The sequence below is a fragment of the Homo sapiens genome, chromosome 1 (assembly GCF_000001405.40).
Source record: "Homo sapiens chromosome 1, GRCh38.p14 Primary Assembly".
Taxonomy (NCBI): domain Eukaryota; kingdom Metazoa; phylum Chordata; class Mammalia; order Primates; family Hominidae; genus Homo; species Homo sapiens.
Window position 1 is genome coordinate 18948268 of NC_000001.11, and position 19926 is coordinate 18968193.

General features: G+C 51.7%; 1 protein-coding gene across 3 annotated transcripts in view, besides 10 other annotated features; it reads right to left on the reverse strand.

The window, feature by feature from the left end:
• Positions 1–8409, reverse strand: part of IFFO2 (intermediate filament family orphan 2) — a 52397-nt gene extending 43988 nt beyond the window's left edge. For all 3 annotated transcript variants that reach the window (XM_047444839.1, XM_011540630.3, NM_001136265.2), the window contains exon 1: positions 7401–8409. In XM_047444839.1, the coding sequence (XP_047300795.1) occupies positions 7401–8065 (665 nt within the window). In that variant the 5' untranslated portion in view covers positions 8066–8409. The remainder of the gene's footprint in view (positions 1–7400) is intronic.
• Positions 1914–2833: an enhancer, noted in NCBI's record as "H3K27ac-H3K4me1 hESC enhancer chr1:19276675-19277594 (GRCh37/hg19 assembly coordinates)". NCBI's record gives its function as "activates a minimal SCP1, AML or CMV promoter by ChIP-STARR-seq in naive H9 embryonic stem cells {active_cell/tissue: H9 hESC(naive)}" and the evidence as "EXISTENCE:reporter gene assay evidence [ECO:0000049][PMID:30033119]".
• Positions 1955–2084: an enhancer, noted in NCBI's record as "active region_288". NCBI's record gives its function as "activates an Ori minimal core promoter by ATAC-STARR-seq in GM12878 lymphoblastoid cells {active_cell/tissue: GM12878}" and the evidence as "EXISTENCE:reporter gene assay evidence [ECO:0000049][PMID:35858748]".
• Positions 3215–3344: an enhancer, noted in NCBI's record as "active region_289". NCBI's record gives its function as "activates an Ori minimal core promoter by ATAC-STARR-seq in GM12878 lymphoblastoid cells {active_cell/tissue: GM12878}" and the evidence as "EXISTENCE:reporter gene assay evidence [ECO:0000049][PMID:35858748]".
• Positions 3375–3514: an enhancer, noted in NCBI's record as "active region_290". NCBI's record gives its function as "activates an Ori minimal core promoter by ATAC-STARR-seq in GM12878 lymphoblastoid cells {active_cell/tissue: GM12878}" and the evidence as "EXISTENCE:reporter gene assay evidence [ECO:0000049][PMID:35858748]".
• Positions 3715–3764: an enhancer, noted in NCBI's record as "active region_291". NCBI's record gives its function as "activates an Ori minimal core promoter by ATAC-STARR-seq in GM12878 lymphoblastoid cells {active_cell/tissue: GM12878}" and the evidence as "EXISTENCE:reporter gene assay evidence [ECO:0000049][PMID:35858748]".
• Positions 3785–4114: an enhancer, noted in NCBI's record as "active region_292". NCBI's record gives its function as "activates an Ori minimal core promoter by ATAC-STARR-seq in GM12878 lymphoblastoid cells {active_cell/tissue: GM12878}" and the evidence as "EXISTENCE:reporter gene assay evidence [ECO:0000049][PMID:35858748]".
• Positions 7162–7351: a silencer, noted in NCBI's record as "silent region_347". NCBI's record gives its function as "represses an Ori minimal core promoter by ATAC-STARR-seq in GM12878 lymphoblastoid cells {active_cell/tissue: GM12878}" and the evidence as "EXISTENCE:reporter gene assay evidence [ECO:0000049][PMID:35858748]".
• Positions 7592–7851: a silencer, noted in NCBI's record as "silent region_348". NCBI's record gives its function as "represses an Ori minimal core promoter by ATAC-STARR-seq in GM12878 lymphoblastoid cells {active_cell/tissue: GM12878}" and the evidence as "EXISTENCE:reporter gene assay evidence [ECO:0000049][PMID:35858748]".
• Positions 8422–8591: a silencer, noted in NCBI's record as "silent region_349". NCBI's record gives its function as "represses an Ori minimal core promoter by ATAC-STARR-seq in GM12878 lymphoblastoid cells {active_cell/tissue: GM12878}" and the evidence as "EXISTENCE:reporter gene assay evidence [ECO:0000049][PMID:35858748]".
• Positions 17546–17705: an enhancer, noted in NCBI's record as "active region_293". NCBI's record gives its function as "activates an Ori minimal core promoter by ATAC-STARR-seq in GM12878 lymphoblastoid cells {active_cell/tissue: GM12878}" and the evidence as "EXISTENCE:reporter gene assay evidence [ECO:0000049][PMID:35858748]".

The window sequence follows — 19926 nt, forward strand, 5'->3', positions numbered from 1 at the left end:
ACCCCCATTGTACAGAGCGACAAACTGAGGTGCAAGAGATTAAATGGCATGCACAGAGTTGTGCTACATTACGGAGAGAACGTAGTCTTCATAGGGTTGCTGGGCAAGCCCACCTTCCCACTGTCCCCATTCCCACGTGGGCATAGTGAAGCTCAGACCACATCGCAGGCAAACCCAGACCAGGACCTGGGCTCCACGGACCCTCCAGAGAACCAGGCATTGCCATTTGCCAGGTTTACTGTTGGGTGAAAACTACCCTCTCTTGTACCAGGTCTAGAATGAGAAACCACATCCTGCTCAGGAAGCCAAGCACCCGGTGCCCAGTGTGGGTGGGAGGACACTCCCCTCGTGGGCAGGCGGCGGCAACATCACAAACCTTCAGCAGTCTCCCATCTGGCCTGGAATTTTCTAAACACCTCACAGTCTGGCAATGCTCAAAGGGCTGTGCAACTCACAGATGCTGCCAGCAAAGGGCACGGGACACCCTCTCCCAGTTTCCAGCTTGGTTCTCAACCTCTGCCCACCCCACAGGGCCAGCACAGATCTGCCTCTGTAGGGCACCCACTCTCTGCCCTGTGAAATCATTCTGAACTTGACTGTTTACACGCCCTGTGCTGTAGCTAGGCGAGCCTGTCTACTTCTTCCACAACCTCCGGACACAGAGCTTAGCATCCCTGTTTTACAGATGAAGAAACTGAGGCTCGAGAGGCAGTGACTAGCCCAAGCTCACTCGGCTTTTAACTCCTGCCCTGGGGCCCCAGCACCCTGCACTGCCAGGCTTGGGGGTTCATTCAAACTTTGAACTTTGGCCCAGGCCTTCTGATTCCAAGTGCAGGCCCTCCCCTCCACAAACAGCCGAATCCCTGGACGTGGTCTGTGTTGTCCGTCTTCTGTCCCATCCTCCTGGAGGCCTACTAGCTCACAGCAGCCAGACACAGAGGCCTCCCTGCTGCATGAGTATTTACTCAGCATGGACCTTGGCCAGGTCCTGGCTGGGATCTGCCAGTGGGAGACGAAGCCAGAGTTGGAGCCGGCCCCCACAGAGCTTCCAGTCGATGCAGGGGCAGACACATGCCAGGTAGTTACAACTCCGGGTGTGGGGGGCTGTGATCGGGAGGTGGTGGGTGCTTAGGACCGCCTGACAGCAGAAAGTCAGGAAAAAGCAACACATCCCTAATCCTGAGCACAGGGACATGACAGGGCTGCCTCCTTCCCGTCCCGGGCCTTCAGCCATCCGCGACATAGGAAATAAATGGAATGCCAGCCGGCCTTCACCTCTCAATGCGATCAAAAGCCAGGACTGCAAATGCAAAGCCCACAGCCTCCGGTGTCACTGACACATGGCACAGTTTAAATCAATTCTCCTGGAAGGCAACGCATCTCGTTGCAGCAAAGGGCGTGTTCAAATTCCGGGTCTACCCTTCTGTGTCCTTCAAACACGGTCATGTGTGGGGACGTGGGCCACAGGACTGAACGGAGAGTCTGGTGTGTGCATCTGCATGTGTATGTGAATGTGTGTGTGTGCACGTACATGTGTGTGAGTGTGAGTGTGCATACACGTGGGGGGAAGGGGGACCCGGGGACCCGCATCCGGTCTCGTTTGCCAAGGCAAAGCCCCGCCTCGCATTCCTCTGAGAAGGAATCTTCAGCGTCAGCTGTCTCCCTGCTTCCTTTTCTTTTCTGGGACCTCATTCCCCTCCCTCTAGCTTGAGGCTCTGAGAATCGCTCCCAAATTTGTCCCCAGTGAGAATGCCAACCCAGCCAAGGGATTCTGTAATATAGTTCTCAAGGGACCCGAGGCGCTAGATGGAGGGGTTTGTGTGTTTCTCTTAAAGGAAGTTGGGAGAAAGGGCTGGGGGATGGCGAGAGATTTCCGGAGGCACAAATCAACTGCTAAGAGTAGGTCAAACAGCCTTCTTAGATGCCGGACAAAGAAGCAGCCGTTCTCCCTCCACCCCCAACACCATCTCTGGCGCCTCCATGGGACAGAGAGAGCGGCGACATGCCCTGAAATGGACTTGTTAGGCAGTCAGGGCCATGCTGAGAAATCCTTGTAAATTAAAGGAACAGACTTTGCCAGGGGAAGGGGGCTGGGCTGGGGTGGAGGTAGGTATGCCCAAAATCTGCCAAGCCCCAGGTACCTTAACACCAGACCTCATTTGTTCCTTCTCAATCCCTGGGAGAGCAACAAGATGATCCCTCTTTTACAGAGGACGAAGCGGGGAGCTCCACGGGCAGCTCAGAGAGGCCAAGCCACTTGCCCATGTTCACACAGACAGTGGCAGAGCCAGGATGCAAAACCCTTTTCCACCATCGAAGGCTGCCTCACTGGAAAATCAGAAATAAAGAATCCGTATCGGTGCCAGCTTCAGAAATAACGAAAGTGTCAATGGGAGTGGCAGGGAACAAAGCCCTCAGCTTTCTATTCCAGGGCAGCCTTCGGGCTTCGGGACATTCAGGGGCCAGCACCCACCTGCTTGAGGGCCCCCCTGGGGTGTGACGGGAATGGGCGGGGGACACTCCAGCTGACCCACCCACCATCCCTTTTTGGAGTCCTCCATTCCAGCCGACAGCCCAGCCCCTTCCGGCTCACAGTCAGAAATAGCTGTGACAAAAGTCCCTCCCATCCCAGAAAGTGGCTTTTTAAAAAAATGTTTAAAACAGACATACAAAAAGGTGGAAAGAACATAACAAAGCCTCGACTGCTGGCGGATGATGCGGGCATCATGTCGAGGCGGGGAGGCCAGCTCTGCACGGCAGATGGAAGGTCTGTCCAGCTCAGCACTGAGGGCCAGCCCCCCTCTGGGCCTTGGTTTCCCCACCTTTAAAATGAAAGTACTCAGCTGAATCAGCGGTTTCTTTCTTTTTAAAACAGCAGAACCCTTTTTAAAATGGAATACTTTTTGGACAGTCTGGGAGTCAGAGAGGCATGGAGCTATGGTGGGCAACATGGGTCAAATCTCAGGTACTCAGCCTCCCACTGTCCCCCGAGTCTCCCAAGGCGCCCTGCTATGGACTCCAGGGCTCTAAAAAGCCCACCTGAAAGCCACCAGGCTGAATGATCACAGTGGTCTCTCCAGGCTCCCAAACCACCCTCCAATCACCCCAGGCACCAGGAAAAAAAGAAACCTAGCCTCCAGGCTGACTTCAACTGGGGGGCGCATACAGTCAGCCACTCGCACGGGAGGGAACCAGGCCAGCCAGCTGCAAATCACACTAGGCCTGAGGGGGCCAGGATGGCTGGACAGGCTTCTGGACAGGGACACCAGGCCCCCAAAAGAGTCGCCCTGTCTGATAGGCAGCTAGGCCAGCACTACTAGCGCCGGGCAACTTCCTCTACCAGCCCAGGGCAACTTCCCCTACCAGTCCATGGCAACTTTGTGACAGCTGCCAGGCTGGAGGGACCTTTTTCTTGACAGCCTTAAAGATTTCCTGCATCCTTCCTTGGAGCCAATGAAGACAGGGGAAACGGTTGAACCGGTTAAGCCTGGGGATGGGATGGCCAGCGCTGCCTATGCCTGGAGCCTGGACCCTAGTTATCTGGGGCAGAGATAGGAGAGGGAAGGGGAAGCCCAGAACAGAGAAAGGCTTCAGCGAACACAGTGTGGTCTCCAGAGGCAGAAAGATCAGCCACAACACGGGCCTCTTGGAGTCACTGACCTAAAGTAGAGAGCAAGCTGAGAGAGATCACCCACAGGAACTCCTGCATGTAAAGGTGGAGGAGCTGAGGCCCAGAGAGGGCAGCGGTTGGCCAGAGGTCACACAGCACCTAGTGGCAGAGCTGGACCTAAAGTCCAGGTCTCCTGGATGCCAACTCAGGGAACTCTCCACTGTTGAGTTCAGATAAACTCAGTGGGAAACTCCAGGGAAAAGCCCCCAGCTTGCAAAGTCAGAACAAGATATTTTAGTGGCCCTGGGTGGTGACAGAGTAGAGATGTTTGTTTTGGTTTCCAAATCAACGCTTGACAACCTCGTCCTCATTGCGGCTTCAGCGACCACATTTCCCACGTGGTAAAGACCTGGTTGGGCCAAGGGAAAACCAAAGCAGTGGTGACTGGGGCCAGGACCCAGGCACCCCAGGCCAGGGGCTCTGGTTTGGGTTGGTGTTTCCAAAGCACAGTTTGTGGACCACTGATGGCACATGAGATGATGCTCGGTGGTATACAGTTGACGTTTTAAATTTAAAATACATTGAATACCTGGGTGGATTCATAAACACAATATGGTCTATACTACAGAGGAATATTTTTAGCTATAAAAAGGAACAGCCTACAAATACATGCTACAACATGGATGAACTTCAAAAAAAATTCTCTAAGTGAAAAAAGCCAAACACAAAAGACTGCAGAGTGTATGTTTCTATTTCTATGAAATGTCCGGAAAAGGCTAGTTTCTAGAGACAGAGCAGGTCAGTGATTACCTGGGCTGGGCTTGGAATTGGAATTTTCTGTAAATGGACATGAAGGATCTTTTTGGGGGCTGATGCAATGCCCTAAAACGGGATTGTGGTAATGACTGCACAACTCTGTGAATTTACTCATCTTGACTTGTACACTTAAAATGGGCAGTTTTTGTGATATGCAAGTTGTACCTCAATGAAGTTGTTAAAATATTTTATGTACGTAATAGCACAGGCGGTAGTACATGGATGTGGCCAGAAATCATGGAGGTGGAACTCAACAAGCGTCCGGCTTGAAGATCGCTGAGCCTCGCAGCCTAAGTTGTCCTTTGGGGAAGCAAGTGGGGGTCTCTGGAGCTGCAGCTTCCTCCAGGTGGACCAGGGGAAACCCTGGAACCTTTCCCTTCTGGGTTAGGCTCCTTCTGGGCATCATTGCTTGGAGTTCTGTAATAGATATCCTGGGATGATTTAAAGCCCTTCATGGCCACAACAGTCCAGGCAGACACCTGGGTCTCATCCCTTAGACGGTGACTTCTCTTATGGCCAGGGGATCAGAAGCGGGCTGGGAGCTCAAACTCAGATTTATATATTGCCAAGGCTGGGAAGACCCTTTGAGATCATCTAGCCCAGTGGTTTTTCAACTTTTTAAAAAATGTTTATCAAATGTCTGCCCTCCTCCCCAAAGAAAATTCTTAGGGATACCCAAAACATACTACTAACAAGTTAGCATGTTAGTAGAACCCAGTGAGTTAATATTAAGAACTTAAAGGTGGGTGAGCACATTTTTATCACTGTATTAACGTCTTAATGTTCTTTTAAATGATCATTTTTATTAGATATTCAAGGAAACCCTAAAGCATCTCTAAGAAAGCCTGGGGTTTCAAGGACCGCAATTCTAGCCCCCCCTCAACCTCACTTCACAGACGGGGAAACTGAGGCCCCAGGAAAGGAATATACCTGCTTTGGAAAAATCCAACATGAGTCTTGAGTTAACTTCAGAAAATAAATGGAAGACAAGGTGTGCACGCATCCCAGAAGGGCGGGAAGAGAGACGCCCGCACTCCACCTGTCTCAGCAGCACCGTCTCATTCCAGGCCAGCGCCAGAAGCTGACATCACACCCCACGCCCTGGGTGCAACTTGAATAGATCGTTGCTCAATGCCAACCCATCTCCCTCCAAGACTGGGCACGGTTTTTCCATCACCTTAGTAGCCAGGTCCAAAAAGCACACACACAATAAAACAAACACAACACAAGCCTGAGGCATGACAACACAATCAACAGTGGCAGACAGGAGGGCCCGGCCCATCCCTCCCCAGTTTCACCATTGAGAGCAAGTGCCTGCTTCCCTAGCCTGCCCCAATGACATTGACCATGAGGGGCGGCGAGGTGGCCTCCCTGTGGCAAGGCACCAGGCGGGCCATTCTCAAGTCCTCCAGAGAAACAGGTAACCCAGGAGAGAAGCCCGTCTCCCAGTGGAGTGTAAGACCTACCCCCAGGAAGCTAGGCGCCACATGAGAGAGCTTGAGGACTCTCAGCATTTCTACTCCCTGCTAGCTTGACAAAGTGCCTATCATCTTTAATAACACCAGCATGATTACTTTATACCTCCCAAAGAGCATCACCATCCTGCTGTCTCCTCGAGCAACTGTGGGCAGATTTTATTATTCCCATTTCTCTGATGAGCAAACAGGCTTTCAAGTGATTTGATAATCTCACCAGCAGGTATAAGGCTGGCATTTGAATCCTACCCAGTTGCTAGCCTGTCCAATGGGAGAATACGGAAGGAGACCTATGCCCAGCTCCCTGGACAGACCTTTAGAGATGGAAGGAAGGGTCCTTCTCAGTACATCCTCCAAGCCCTGGAGTTCAGAGCCAATAGCTCCGAATGGAAGGCTGCCTGTGCCTGGAACAGCGATTGCCAGGGCCAGAGGGCCCCTTCCCCAGCCAGGCCTGAGATGCCAAAGACAGACCCTTCTTCTCTTATGGGAAGAGGAGGAGGATAGGAGACCCCTCTCCTCTTATCGGAAAGCCAAGCAGACAGTATTGTCGGCCAGACTGCAGACAGGAAGCAATGACAGTTTCCCAGCTGGGGAATCTGGGCTAGGCAGGAATGCACTGGCCAGTCTTGCAGAGTCTGGACCCCAGTTCTAGCCAGAGATTGTGGTCTCAGTCCATTCAATGTCCAGTCTCCAGCCCAACATTATCTTCTCCTGGGGGCTTTTAAGGCTGAGTTTGTTAGGGCTCAATAAACCATGAGACTCAGGGAGTGGGGAGAAGAGGGATGAAAGGAGGCATTTTATAAAAGCTTGTGAGCAGTCTGTTGTAGTTGTGGTTATCCAACCCAGCAAGCTGGACCTTACAGAGCTGGAGCAAGACGGCAGACACTGGCCCCAGGGGGTAGGGGCAGATCCATCCATTTTCAAAAACGTGATCTCATTTAATTCAAGAAATAAAAAGGCAGTGGGTTGGTTAGAGTTTTTCTTTTCATATGTTGAGGGAGGGGAGCATATTTCCTACTTCCTTGGTAAAAATACTTATGCTAGGAGACAGACTAGCCAGGAGTGGTTAAAATCTCTGGTTGAAATCCCGGTTTCACCACTTACTCGCCAAGCCACCTTAGGCAAATCACTTAGCATTTCTGCACCTCGGTTTCCTCATCTGCGAGATGAGGATAAGACTGCCTTACACAATACGCTGTATTGTGCTGAGAATTAAATGAGATCGCATAAAACACAGACAGTTATTATGTCACCTAGAAAACAATGTGCCTCACCAGTGACAGCATCGAGGTGGCCCCCACGGTAGCCAGCGCCCGCCCCCATCCTGGGATCTAGATAACTGGGCCTTCCTGGCGTACGTAAGACGCTCTGCAAACACAGCTTCCAGCCCACCTGCCAGTACCAGCTGCCCGCCCGGCCCCCGTCCCGCATACGCATTCCGCGGCAGCCTGGACCTGGGCGCCCCGTCCCAGGGCGGCGGGGGAGGGGCGGCCACTCACCTCCGCTTATACTCGTCGCGCTCGCGCTTCACCTTGGCCAGCACGTTGTAGAGCGCGCGGATCTCCGGCGTGATGGTGTCGATCTGCACGCCCACGCCGTCGGGGTGCACCCACGACACGCCGGGGCCCTGCACGGTCTCCACGCCGCCGCCGCCCGTGCGCCGCACCTGCGTGTAGCTCCAGATGGTCCCGGGCAGGCGGCCGTAGTGCTGCGGGTGCGAGCCGCCGCCGGGGGGCAGGCCGCCCAGGGCCACGGCATTGGCGTTGGCGCCGGCCGCCGCGCCACTGCTGAGGCCGTGCCCGCCGCCGGGCGCCGGGGGCCGCAGCAACTCGGGCCCGGTCTGCACGGCCTGCTCGCGGGAGAAGGTCTTGTAGCGCAGCCGCCGCTCGCGCTCGCTCTGCTGCTGCTCCAGCTGCTTCTCCAGCAGCCGGTTGCGCCGCTCCAGCTCGTGCACCTTAGCCAGGAAGCAGCGGAAGCGCACGTTGAGCCCCTTCAAGAGGTGGATGTTGGAGCCCAGGTCGTCCCGCAGCGCCGCCGTCACCGGCGACGGACCCGGCCCTGCCCCGCCGCCGCCGCCGCCCCCGCCAGGGCAGCCCCCGCCGCCGCCGCCCGGCGGGCAGCCGAAGGCCAAGGCCATCTCCCCGAACAGCAGCGAGTTCACCATGCGCCGGCTGCGCGGCTCAGGGCCCCGGGCCCGCGGCTCCAGGTGCGGCTCCAGCTCCGGGCAGGGCTCCCGGCGCGGCCGGGCCAGGGTGGGCGCGGGCTCCAGCGCGGCCGGCCGGGCGGTTCCAGATGCGCGCCAGATGCGGCCTCCGCAGAGACGGCAGGACGGATGGCCCCGGATGCGGGCGCCGAGGCGAGAGAGGGCACTCGGCCGCTCCTCGGGACGCGGTGGAGGCCGCGGTATCTGCGCGGGGCCAGAAGGGTCGCGGGTCTCACCGCCCGGGCTGTCAGAGACGCTGTGGAGGGGCCGCGGCAGCCGCACGCAGAGGACTCTCGGCCGGCACTGCCCCTTCTGCGGCGGGCCCCGCCCACTGCAGACACTGGCCCCGCCCCCGCCGCGGCCCCGCCCACCCCTCCTCCCTCTGCGGCGTTCCCCGAGCCCGAGGCTCCGCCCCACGAGGCCCGCAGCGCCGGGCCCCACCCACAGACCCTCGGCTCCGCCCACCTCCGGGTTCTCCCGCTTTCTCCGCAGCATAGACTCCGCCCAGCTCCCCGGCGGGGCCACGCCCTCTCCTGCGTCTGGTCCTGCCTCCCCGCCGGGTGCCGATTCTCTGCTGGGGGACCCGGACCGCAGAGCTGCACCAGGGACCGGGTTAGCTGGAACCGCCGCAGAGCCAGCCGGGCCTCTTAAAGGGGCCAGCAGCCTCGGCAACGCTCGCTTTCCACTTTTTAGGGCGCTCCTCTCCCACGTCGCCTGCCGAGAGGGCTCCGTTTCTCTGTCCTCTCTGCCCGCAATGCCCCTGGCCCCAAATTCCTTCGGATGTGCGCGACCGCGGCTGGAAGGGCTGGGGGACCACAGTATCCGAAGGTGCATCGGCACCCCACCCCCACTCTAGCCTGGGGAGGCCCAGATCGACCTTTCGGGGATAAGAGGGCGCCCGTGCCCCACGCTGCGGACCCGGGGGTGGGCTCCTCGAATGCTAGCTGCGGGCCTTGTCCTCTCGAGATCGGCCCGGGCACAGCTAAGCCCGCTGGTTCCCCCGCCCACTGAGGAGCCGAGCAGCATGGGGGTTGGGGAGGCCGAGCAAGACCCTCCCGGGATGACACCCACAAACTCGGCCTGGGCCTCGCCTCTGCTGAGCTGCTCAGCACCTCCCCACCACCCACACCCACACGCTGAGATGAAGCTGACCCCGAGAGCTGGGGATTCATTTCACAGACATGGGGCTTAGCGGGCCGCCTGGGGCAGACCGAGGCAACCCGAGGACCCATTCATTCATTCATTCATTCATTCAAATGTTTTCACACCTACCACGTTAAAGGCCAAGTTCTCCAGTCTCTGGTGTCTCCTGAACCGTGTTGCAAACATTAGTATATGTCAGGCGCCATACTTATTTATTATCCCCATTTTACAGAGAAGGTCACTGAGACGTTAAGTAGCCACAATGGTCCAAAGTGCATGCTCTAACCGGCCTTCCACAATGCTGGCCTCGGGCCTCGTGTCCATTTCCGCATTTGGTCCTCACCGCAAACCTCAGAGGGGAGGTGACCCCCACCTTGAACCCCCACCTTTGAACGCCTGTGGCTTGCATTGTATGCACTTAACCAGATATGTGGCATGTTTCAGATACTTCCGACTGCATTTTTTACTAGCAGTTTAATTTTTGTCTTGTTATTAACTTTTGTGTTTGTTTTGTCTCTTTGTATGTAAGCTTGAGGACAGGCACACTGTCTTACATGGACAATGCCTTGGTGTTCTTGGTGACAAAGGAGACACGGGCTTGCCCTGGAGTGATGTGGCTGTGATGTTAGTCTGCTGTGTTTTTGATTTAGCCACAAAAGCAAACCTTCCCCATAGTTCCTTCCCTCAACCACAGTTCCTTGCTTCCTGCCAACACGGACTCACCTTAAACACCCAGCTCTGAAACTCACTCATCTAGAAACCTTTCTCTGCTTAACCCAACCCAGTCTGGACACTGCCCTTTACTCTTCGTTCTCTCGTCTCTTGATGATGTTCTTGTTTATCTAACCTAAGGAATCAAAACCCCTTTGCCTTGAAGCAGAGGTTCATGGACCCCCAAGAGGACTGAGGATAGAATTCTGGGGGGTCCATGACACAGGGGTGGACAAAAGTTATACCTTTAGCCTCACTAATCTCTAAAGGCTTTGTTGTCTGTTTGTTTATTTGTTTGTTTGAAACAGAGTTTCACTCTTGTTGCCCAGGCTAGAGTGCAATGGTGCGATCTTGGCTCATCACAACCTCCACCTCCGGGGTTCAAGAGATTATCCTGCCTCAGCCTCCCAAGTAGCTGGGATTACAGGCATGCGCCACCACACCCGGCTAATTTTTTTGTATTCTTAGTAGAGATGGGGGTTTCTCTATGTTGGTCAGGCTGGTCTTGAACCCCCAACCTCAGGTGATCCGCCCACCTTGACCTCCCGAAGTTCTGGGATTACAGACGTAAGCCACCGTGCCCAGCCAATGGTTTTTAACATATCCTTTGATTATGAATGTAGGCAGCAAGTAGATGTCCCTGTGATTTTGTCACTAGTAGAAATCACAGGTATTTATGTAACACACTACAGTTATTGTAAACATCTCAAGATATCATCTAAGCTACGAGAACTGTGAAATTAAAGTCATATTAGACCGACCACTAAATCTTATTTAATGTATTAGTAAAAGAGAACGTATGTTACTATATGAGAAATTGTTAATAGTTTGATATCTATTTTTAGTAAAATGACTTTTCATAGTAATCCTAATGCCTTTTTAAAAAAATTATTCTCAGAAGGGGTCCACAGGCTCCACCCAATGCCTGAGTGGTCCCATGGAAGAGAAAGGGTTAAGAAGTCACACCTGGGGAGTGGCTCCCTGCAACCTCTTCCAGGAAGGATCTGTCCTTCCAACAAAGTTGCCCTGGAATTGGGGTGTGCAGCCCTCCTTGAGGGTGGGGGCAGCCCTGCCCTGGGCCCTGGAGATATTCAGACTTTCCGTGATGACTTGTGGAGCACCTGCTTCGGCACAAATCCTGCATTAAATGCAGAGGAAGGAGCTAAAGGGGCTCCAGGGGAGCTGATGGAGACAACCAAAAAAGACCATCCTGAGGCATGGGAGTGGGTGCAGAGGGGGGAAAAGGAGATGGCCAAGCAGAGCCCAGAAGATCTGAAGGAATTGAGGGAAGTGGTAGCTGGACCTGAGAGGGTTTTCAGCTGAACCCTAGAAACATGATATGTGCAAACAAAATGGCTTGAAAATAGCTTCGTGGCCACATAGGAATAAAGGCGGGTGCTGCGTGTCTTGCTCTTTGTGGGTAAAATGTGAGGTTAGGTTAACCTAACAGTCCTCCAGCTAGGGTGACCAACCATCCCAATTTATCAGGAACTGAGAAGGTTTCTCTTGATGCTAAAACCTGGAAAGTAAATCAGAACGAGCAAATCAGAACAAATGTGTCACCCTACTTCCAGCCCATATCAATCTGGAGGCATCTGAGGCCAGAAGTCCTATAGTTCAGGATACAGCCAGCCCAGATTTCTTGTTTCAGGGACCAGAAAACTGAGGACCACAGAGAGGTAAGGACTGACCCAGGTCTCCTGAATAATTGGTATCAAAGCCTGGTCTGGAATTCTGGTCCCATTCCCTTTCCAATGGTAGGTCCTCCCTGGCCCAGACAATGAATTCAGTGGTCTCCTCCCCTTAACCCCAGACACTGGCAGGCTGGCTCCCCCATTCAAGATCCAAAGGGGGCTAAAGGTGGGTCCTCAAGGCAGCGGAAGAGTTCCAACAGACAAAGGAACATCCCTGTGGGGGACGCCAGCCTCCTCTCACTAAACAAGGATAATTAGGTTTTTGTTTTTTGGCAGGGTACCTCCCCTTGACCCTCAAAGTCACAGCGGTGTGTCTAACCTGTCCAGACTGTTTTTGGAGGCAAGAGTGGGGAGTGGAAAAAGGTGGGCTTTTAAGACAAGAGATTGGCTAAGGTTTGTATCTAAGTCACTTTACCTCTCTGAGGCTCTATTTCCTCATCAGGGAAATGGGCATAACTGCTCTCAATGAACAGTTGCTGAATGAATGAATAAAAGAATTAAGAAATGAATGAGAAAATGACTTTTATTCTTCCTGCCCCACTCCCCAGCCATTTCACCTGCTAACAACTCCTCATCCTTCAGGTCCCAGCCTCAAGCACGGAACCTTCTCTTCTCGGAAACTTCTCTTCTCGGAACCTTCTCAAGTACCTGCCAGGTCTGGGTGGAGGGTGCTTCCTCCAGGCTCTGCCAGCACTGCCCACCCTGTGGCAGCCCCAAGTATACGCTCTTGTCATTGCTGGATTTCTCATCTGCATCTCCACCCCTTCTAGCCCAGCCTTCTAACACTTGCTAACCCATATTCTCTATTAGAGCAGAAGCACTTGATCAGATTCACCCTGGAACCCATATCCTGGCATGGTACCTGGCACATAATAGGTGCTCAACAAAGATGAGTTCAGGTGAACAAATGAATGAGCTGTTAGTTACTGGAGAAATTCCTGTAAAGTGGATCATGGCTGCTTAGGAAATGTTATATTTGCAGAACGTAATTGCATTTCTTTTTTTTACTTTATTGAGGAATATTTTACATATTATGTAATTCACCCATGTCAATGGTTTTTAATAAATTTACCAAGTTGTGCAAACAACGCTATAAACCAGTTTTAGAATATTTCATCATCCCCACTCCTACCCCCTGCCCCAGACAACCGCTAATCTGGGATCTGTCTCTATGGAGTTGCCTTTTCTACATATATCAGATAAATGACATTTTACAATATGTGATCTCTTGTGTCTGGCCACTTTCATTGAGCACAATGTCTTTGAGGCTCATCCATGTGGTAGCATGTATCAGTAGTTTGTTCCTCTTTATAAATGATCTCTTTTTAAATTTCAATAGTTTTAATTTTTCCTTTTCTGTACTCAGTTCTTCATCTGGAAATAAGACTATAGGACTATCTGACCTGGGGCCAGGTGCAGTGGCTCACACCTGTAATCCCAACACTTTGGGAGACCGAAGCGAGTGGATCACTTGAGACCAGGAGTTTGAGACCAGCCTGGCCAAAGGCTTAACACCGTCTCTAGTAAAAATGCAAAAAAATTAGCTGGGCATGGTGGCATGTGCCTGTAGTCCCAGCTACTCAGGAGGCTGAGGCACAAGAATCACTTGAACCCCCAGAGGCCAAGATTGCACCACTACACTCCAGGCCAGCCTGGGTGAGAGTGAGACCTGGTATAAAAAAAAGAATATCTGACCTGGTGCAGTGGCTCACACCTATAATCCCAGGACTTTGGGAGGCCGAAGTGGGAGGATCGCTTGAGCCCAGGAGTTCGAGTCCAGCCTGGGCAACGTAGTGAGACCCCATCTCTACAAAAAAAATTTTTTAAAAATTAGCTGAGCATGGTGGCACATGCCTATGGGGTCCTAGCTACTTGGGAGGCTGAGGTGGGAGGATCATGTAAGCCTGGGAGGTAGAGTCTGCAATGAGCTATAATCTTGCCACTGCACTCCAGCCTGGGTGACAGAGTGAGACTGCCTCCAAAAAAAAAAAAAAAAAAGGTGGTTGTAAGGGTTAAGTGAGTTCATACATGGAAAGTCAGTATGTTCGATAAATGCTCAATCGATGCCAGCAATGCTCAATAAATGTTAACTATTATCATTGTCATTTTTTAACTTTTTTGCTTAAGCAAATATGGAAAGCCCATAAAATGTATAAAGAGGCAGGAAAAAAACAAACATCTCCCACAGTCTCACACCCAGTGGCCCTCTGGCACCAAAGTTCAGTCCTGCTGCCAGGGAGAATAAACTGCTCCCCACTCCTCGCATCCCCCGTCCCCACCCCTAGGCTGCAGTTTCCAGAACATTCCTATCAAGTCTCTTCATGGTGGAATTAAAGAGAACAGTAAAACATGATGGTACAGAGGATAGGGAGTGGCTGTGAGTCCACATGAGGCTGCACGTGAGAATTCAGCAGCACAGGCGAATTCCTGAGATGTCCCATCTCTCCTCCCAAAAAACAATGACAACAGCTAAGAAAAAAAAAAAAAAAAAAGCTTGGCAAAAACAGTGACTCTTACTGGTTTTGGCAGTGGCAGCTCATTGCTGGGCCTCAGCCTTCACAGGCACCTCAGGGCTTATGAGCGGCTTAAGCTGCTTGTTGGCTCAACAATTATTCTGGGTGGGTTTGCCTTCCTCAAAAAGGGCGTGGATTTTGCCAAAGTCAGGGCATTGGAGTGTCCCCCTGGCTGCCCTGACAGCACTGATCTTGGTCAGCAGCCCTGGGGGAGCCCTGGTTGCCTTTGGCACCTTCTCCAGGCCTCCCGGTAGAGGCAGCTTAGGCGGCCTCATCTGTTCTGGCCGTGTGGTAGTGTCGTTAGGTACAGGGGACGAGGGCCAGGCTCCATCAAATATTAACAGAGTGATTTTGAGCAAGTCACTCAAACGCTCTGTGCCTCAGTTTCCCCTCTGTAAAACGGGAAGGTAGACATCCATAGGTCTGCTGGGAGGATCAAAACAGAAGTCCACAGGTATGACACATTTGGAGCAATGCCTGGCACATATTAGGCACTAGCTATTATAACCCAATGCTTCTTGAATCCCTGGTATGTGCCAGGCACTGTTTGAGGTGGTGGTTTAAGTTCTATGTGACAGATGATCAATGCCGGGGTTTGCAGAGGCCTTATCAGGGCCACACTCAATCACTTTAGGGGGAGCCCTGGGCCTGGCATGGGGCCCTTGCCTTCAGACCTTATTCCCTCATTCCCATATGATGGGCACCTGTTGAACACCTCCTGCAGCCAACTCTCTCACTAAAACTCTGTATGTTAAGAAGACCTTCTTACTGATGGGGAAACTGAGGCTCATAGGGGAGAAAGGGCTTCTCCAAGAACACACAGTTCATGGCATAGCTAAGCTTTGAATCCAGCTTTGAATTCCAAGGCCAGCCCCTCTCCTGCTCTGACTGTAGCTCCTCCCTCAACAACTCAAAAGTAGAACATTAAACATGGACTGGAGGAGCGTGTTTTGAAATGACTTCTGTCAACCTAGTTCACTGTGTCAGTGGAAACCTCCAAATGAGTGGAAGGGGGCATAGAGAAGAGAAGGACAGGAGCACCATCGGCAACCCTGGAACCAGGCAGAGAAGCAACACCACACACTCGGGCCCCTGGGTCTTTGCACCTTCTGGCTTCTCCTCCAAGACACCATCCCCCTCCTCACTGGCTGGCCCTTGCTTATTGGCCAGAACTTAGCTTTGGGAGCCCTTCTCCTTCTCTTTTGTTGTCTTGTTTTGACTTTGCATAGAGGTGCGTATATAGGTAGAGTGCACAAATACTAATCGTAGAGCTCTATGAATTCCTACATATGCACCCCCGATGAGCTCACCAGGTCATTTCCCACACACCAGAAGGTCCCTTCATGCTCCTTCTCAGTTGATACTTCCCAAAGGTAACCAGGTGCTGACTTTTCTTTCCCCAGATTCCTTTCTAGGCTTCATTAAATGGAATCATACGGTCTAGTTTTGGCTTCTTTTGTTCAACCCTACGTGTATGAGATTCATCCATTTAGTTGTGTGTTGTGTTTTGCTTCATCCATTTAGTTGTGTGTTGTGTTTTGCTCTTTTTCTCTGCTACATAAAGTTAGATGGTGTGAGCATCACCATTTATTTATCCATTCTACTGCTGATTTGGGCTGTTTCTTAGTTTGGGGCTACTAGGAGTCAAGCTGGAACCTTCTCATATATGTCTTTTGGTGAACACAGTACTTGTTCGTCTTGGGACTCGCCCCAGGGGCAGGATTGCTGTGTCACAGGGGACGCACATTTTTAACATTGGCAAATACTGCCAAACAGATTTTCAAGTAGCCATGCAATTTTACCTCCCCACCGGCAATGCATGAGGGTTCTGATTGCTCCACCTCCCAGCTAACATTTAATAAGTCAGTCCCTTTTATGTTAGACTTTCTGGTGAAGGTGAGGGCAGCACTTTTTCCTAGAAGCCACCCCACACCCCGTAACCCAGGGTAGGGACCTCCTGTTCTTCTCCATTGTAAGCATTCATTTCTCTGTAGCATTTCCACCAGTTCACTGTCTTCCCCATCTCAGGAAGGGAGGGCTCATTGAGGGAGGGAAGGACACTATCTGCCCGACTCACAGCTCCTTCCGGAGGGAGAAGCCAGACCCTATGGCCCCAGCCCCAAGCACTCACCTTCTGACTCTTCTCTCTACAGCCAGAAGTCCTGCCCTGAGGACACAGTACCCCTGTCTTTGATGTGCCCTAATTTATTTATTTATTTATTTTTTTGAGTCAGTCTTACTCGCTCTGTCGCCCAGGCTGGAGGGCAGTGGCACAATCTCGGCTCACTGCAACCTCCGCCTCCCTGGTTTAAACAATTCTCACACCTTCCAAGCAGCTGGGACTACAGGTGTGCACCACCCTGCCCAGCTAAATTTTGTATTTTTAGTGGAGACGGGGTTTTGCCATGTTGGCCAGGCTGGGCTCGTACTTCTAACCTCAAGTGATCCGCCCACCTCGGCCTCCCAAAGTGCTGGGTTACAGGCATGAGCCACAGTGCCCAGCCCCTAATTAATTTAAAGCCCAATGCTTAACAAGACAGCTTCTTCCAGAGGCCTCTCCCAGCCTCAGTTTCCCCATCTATAAAATAGGAAAGGCACCTCTGCCCCTTAGGGTTTTGGTGAGGGCTAAATGAAATGCTGTCCAAGTCCTTGGAAGGATGCCTGGCAGAGGGCAAGTGCTGCATCAGGATGACTCTCTGAGGCCACTCCAGAGCCTGCAGCCCTCTCTCAGCAGAGACGGCCTCTCCTGCCTCATTCTTATCATCATGGGAAAGCACTGTAAAGTGCCCAACAGTGTGAATCGATGCATCTATCTCTGTCCAAAGAGATGACTCCCTGACCTCAGGAACCAACACCCCTGAGCTCCTTCTCATTGCTCCACACACCATCTCTCATTCATCCTCACCTCACCCTGCTCGGACCAGTTCTAACGGCAGTGGTTTATGGAGCACCTAGACATCAAATCGAGTGCCAGGCATCAGATGGAGGCTTCACATGCATCATTTCATTCCATCCTAACCTCATCAATTTCAGGAAGGCCCATCATTCCCATCTTACACATGGAGACGCTGAGGCTTGGAGAGGAGAAGCTCCCTGGCCGAGGGAAGATTCCAGGGCCTGGACATCATAGGTCCAAAATAGTAAGCCAGGTCCTGCCTAGAGACTGCAATGTCCACACCAGCCTCAGGGCAATGGATGAATCCACAGCTGAATGCAGGACCAGGATAAGTGGGTTGTTGCCAGGGAGACCCTGGGAGTTCCACAAACCCCAGGGCAAAGGAGGACAAGGGCATCCTTGCCCTGGGGGTCCCTCCTGTCTTCTCCACCAGCTTGCTGAAGGCGAGCCCGGTAAATCCCCACTTACCTCACCTCTGACTGCTGGTTTACAAATGACTCTCTCACGTGTCAGGGAAAACCCTCCAAGGGAATCAGGGCAGGTCCCCTGAAGTTTCATCATCTTATTTCTGCTGAAACAGAAGTCGCAGCAATGGAGACACCTCCTGGGAGGTGACTGAAAGGAAAGGGTGAGTCAAAAGGCCTTCTTCCCGGAGGACTGCCCCGTCCAACGCTATGAAAAGGAGGAATGCGGCTGAGCTCATCCCAGCCCCACGACAGGAATGTCTCCCTAATTGTCCTTAACACAACTTCAAAATTACTTGCCAGCCAGAAGTCACTGTGTCAGCCTGGTGACATCCCTGATGGCTGATTTGTAACTGCAGAGGCCTCCGCCGGTGGGAGGCTTCCTTGGTCTACACCTGCCCAGCACTTTCCAGCCCTACCCAGAACAGATTATGGGAATCACCGAGTGCCATCAACAGGAGATTGACTAAATAAGTCATGGCACATCCATACCGTACAATACTCAGGGCCATCCAGCAGGATAAAACACATCTGTAGTTATTGGTGGAGAAAGAGTTCCTCCACTTATCAATAAAGTAAGAAGGCACACTGTAAAACACAGAACGACCATTTTAAAAAGTGTGTGTGTTTTATATCTGTGAGTTGTCTAAATTTATATACATGGAAAAACATCAGTGAGGACATCCCAGAAGATCAGCAGATGTTTTTTTACTTTTTGAAATGCCCTATGTGTTTTTTGAACTAATGAAAATGACAATACTTGGAAGGCTCTGTGACAGACACAATGGCAGGCACCTTACCAGCTTTATCACAGGTAATCCTCGCATCAAGATGATGGAGGGAGGTAAAATTCTTTCCCTATTTTACAATGAGCACTGATTACTTTTATTAGGAGAAAAAAATGGAAAAGCTATTTGCACTTTTTTAAAAAAACACATTGGTTGGATATGACTGCATCAAATGTACTAGGCCAAGTGGGAAATCTAAAGATGTTTGGGAGTGGCCCTTGACTTCAAGAAGTTTCCAGCCCCAGGTGTCTAAATAACAAGAATACCTGTTCACACTTGGTAAGTGGACCAAGGGAGAAACCGGAGATGTGTTATGAGAACACAGAACAAGACATGGCTTTAAGGGCAATGAAACAAATATTTATTGGGCAGCTACTATGTGCCTACTGCTCTGAGCACTTTGTCTCATTTTGGGCTCACAACAGCCTTCGAGGTTAATGTAACTTCCACCCTTGTACCCTTGAGGAAATGCAAGCTCCTGGCTTTTTCCAGGGCTATGAAATTAGTAGTAGTGGAGATGGGATTCAAACTTCTGTCTCCAAATCTGATGCCATCTCTCCTGCCCTCACCATTCCCAAAATCCCTGGGGATATATTAAGGACAAAGCAGCTTTCGAGGCCAACCTTGCTTCATAGGTCATGTTTCAACAGCAGGAGAGGAAAAGAAGGCAATTCTCTCTCCAAGCCTCAGTTTTCCCACCTTTAAATTGGGGGTACTCATACCTACTTCATAGGGTTGGTGTGAGGATTAAAGGAGAAATCCAAGGTATTGCAGGGCAGATGCAGTAGAGATAATCCTGAGCTTAAAGCACCTGGATAATATGCCTGGCCAGGGGGAGTGTTTGGTGACATAGAAGCTGTATGGGTTCTGGAATCAGGCCGCATGGGTTCTGAGAACCTGGGGAGGCTTCCTGGAGGAGGTAGCCTTGAACTGGGTCTTGCAGGTGGTGGAGCTAGGGCACCCCTTGGGGACCCTGCACCTTGTAGCAATCACTCTGCTTCAGCCAGATGCAGCAAAGAATCATTTATGGAACTTCTACCCAGTGCTTAAGACATACAATCCTAACTGTGACCCTGTGAGGTGGCTGTCACTATGCTCATGTTTTAGATAGGGAACTTGAAGCTCAAAAGACTAAGTAATGTGTCTAGGGTGGTGGCATGAAGGTTGACGCCAGGCGCATCTGACCACCAAACCTGTGCCACTCATACAGTAAAAACCCAGTCCCCGAAGGTTAGAGCTGGTCCCACTCCCCACATGACCCCATCCGACTTCACAGCCTGGGCTCAATCCAGCTTTCTGCCTTACTTGCTGTGTTACCTTAGAAAATGTACCCCAATTTTCTGATCCTTGGGTTCCTTATCTGAAAAATAGACAAATGGACCAAGGGAGTCCTTAAGTAAGAATGCTTACTTAGAAGAATTTCTTTTTGGGTTTTTTTTTTTTTTTTTTTTTTTTTTTTTGAGACAGAGTCTCGCTCTGTGTCCCAGGCTGGAGTGCAGTGGCGCAATCTCAGCTCACTGCAAGCTCTGCCTCCTGGGTTCACGCCATTCTCCTGCCTCAGCCTTCCGAGTATCTGGGACTACAGGCGCCCGCCACCACGCCTGGCTAATTTT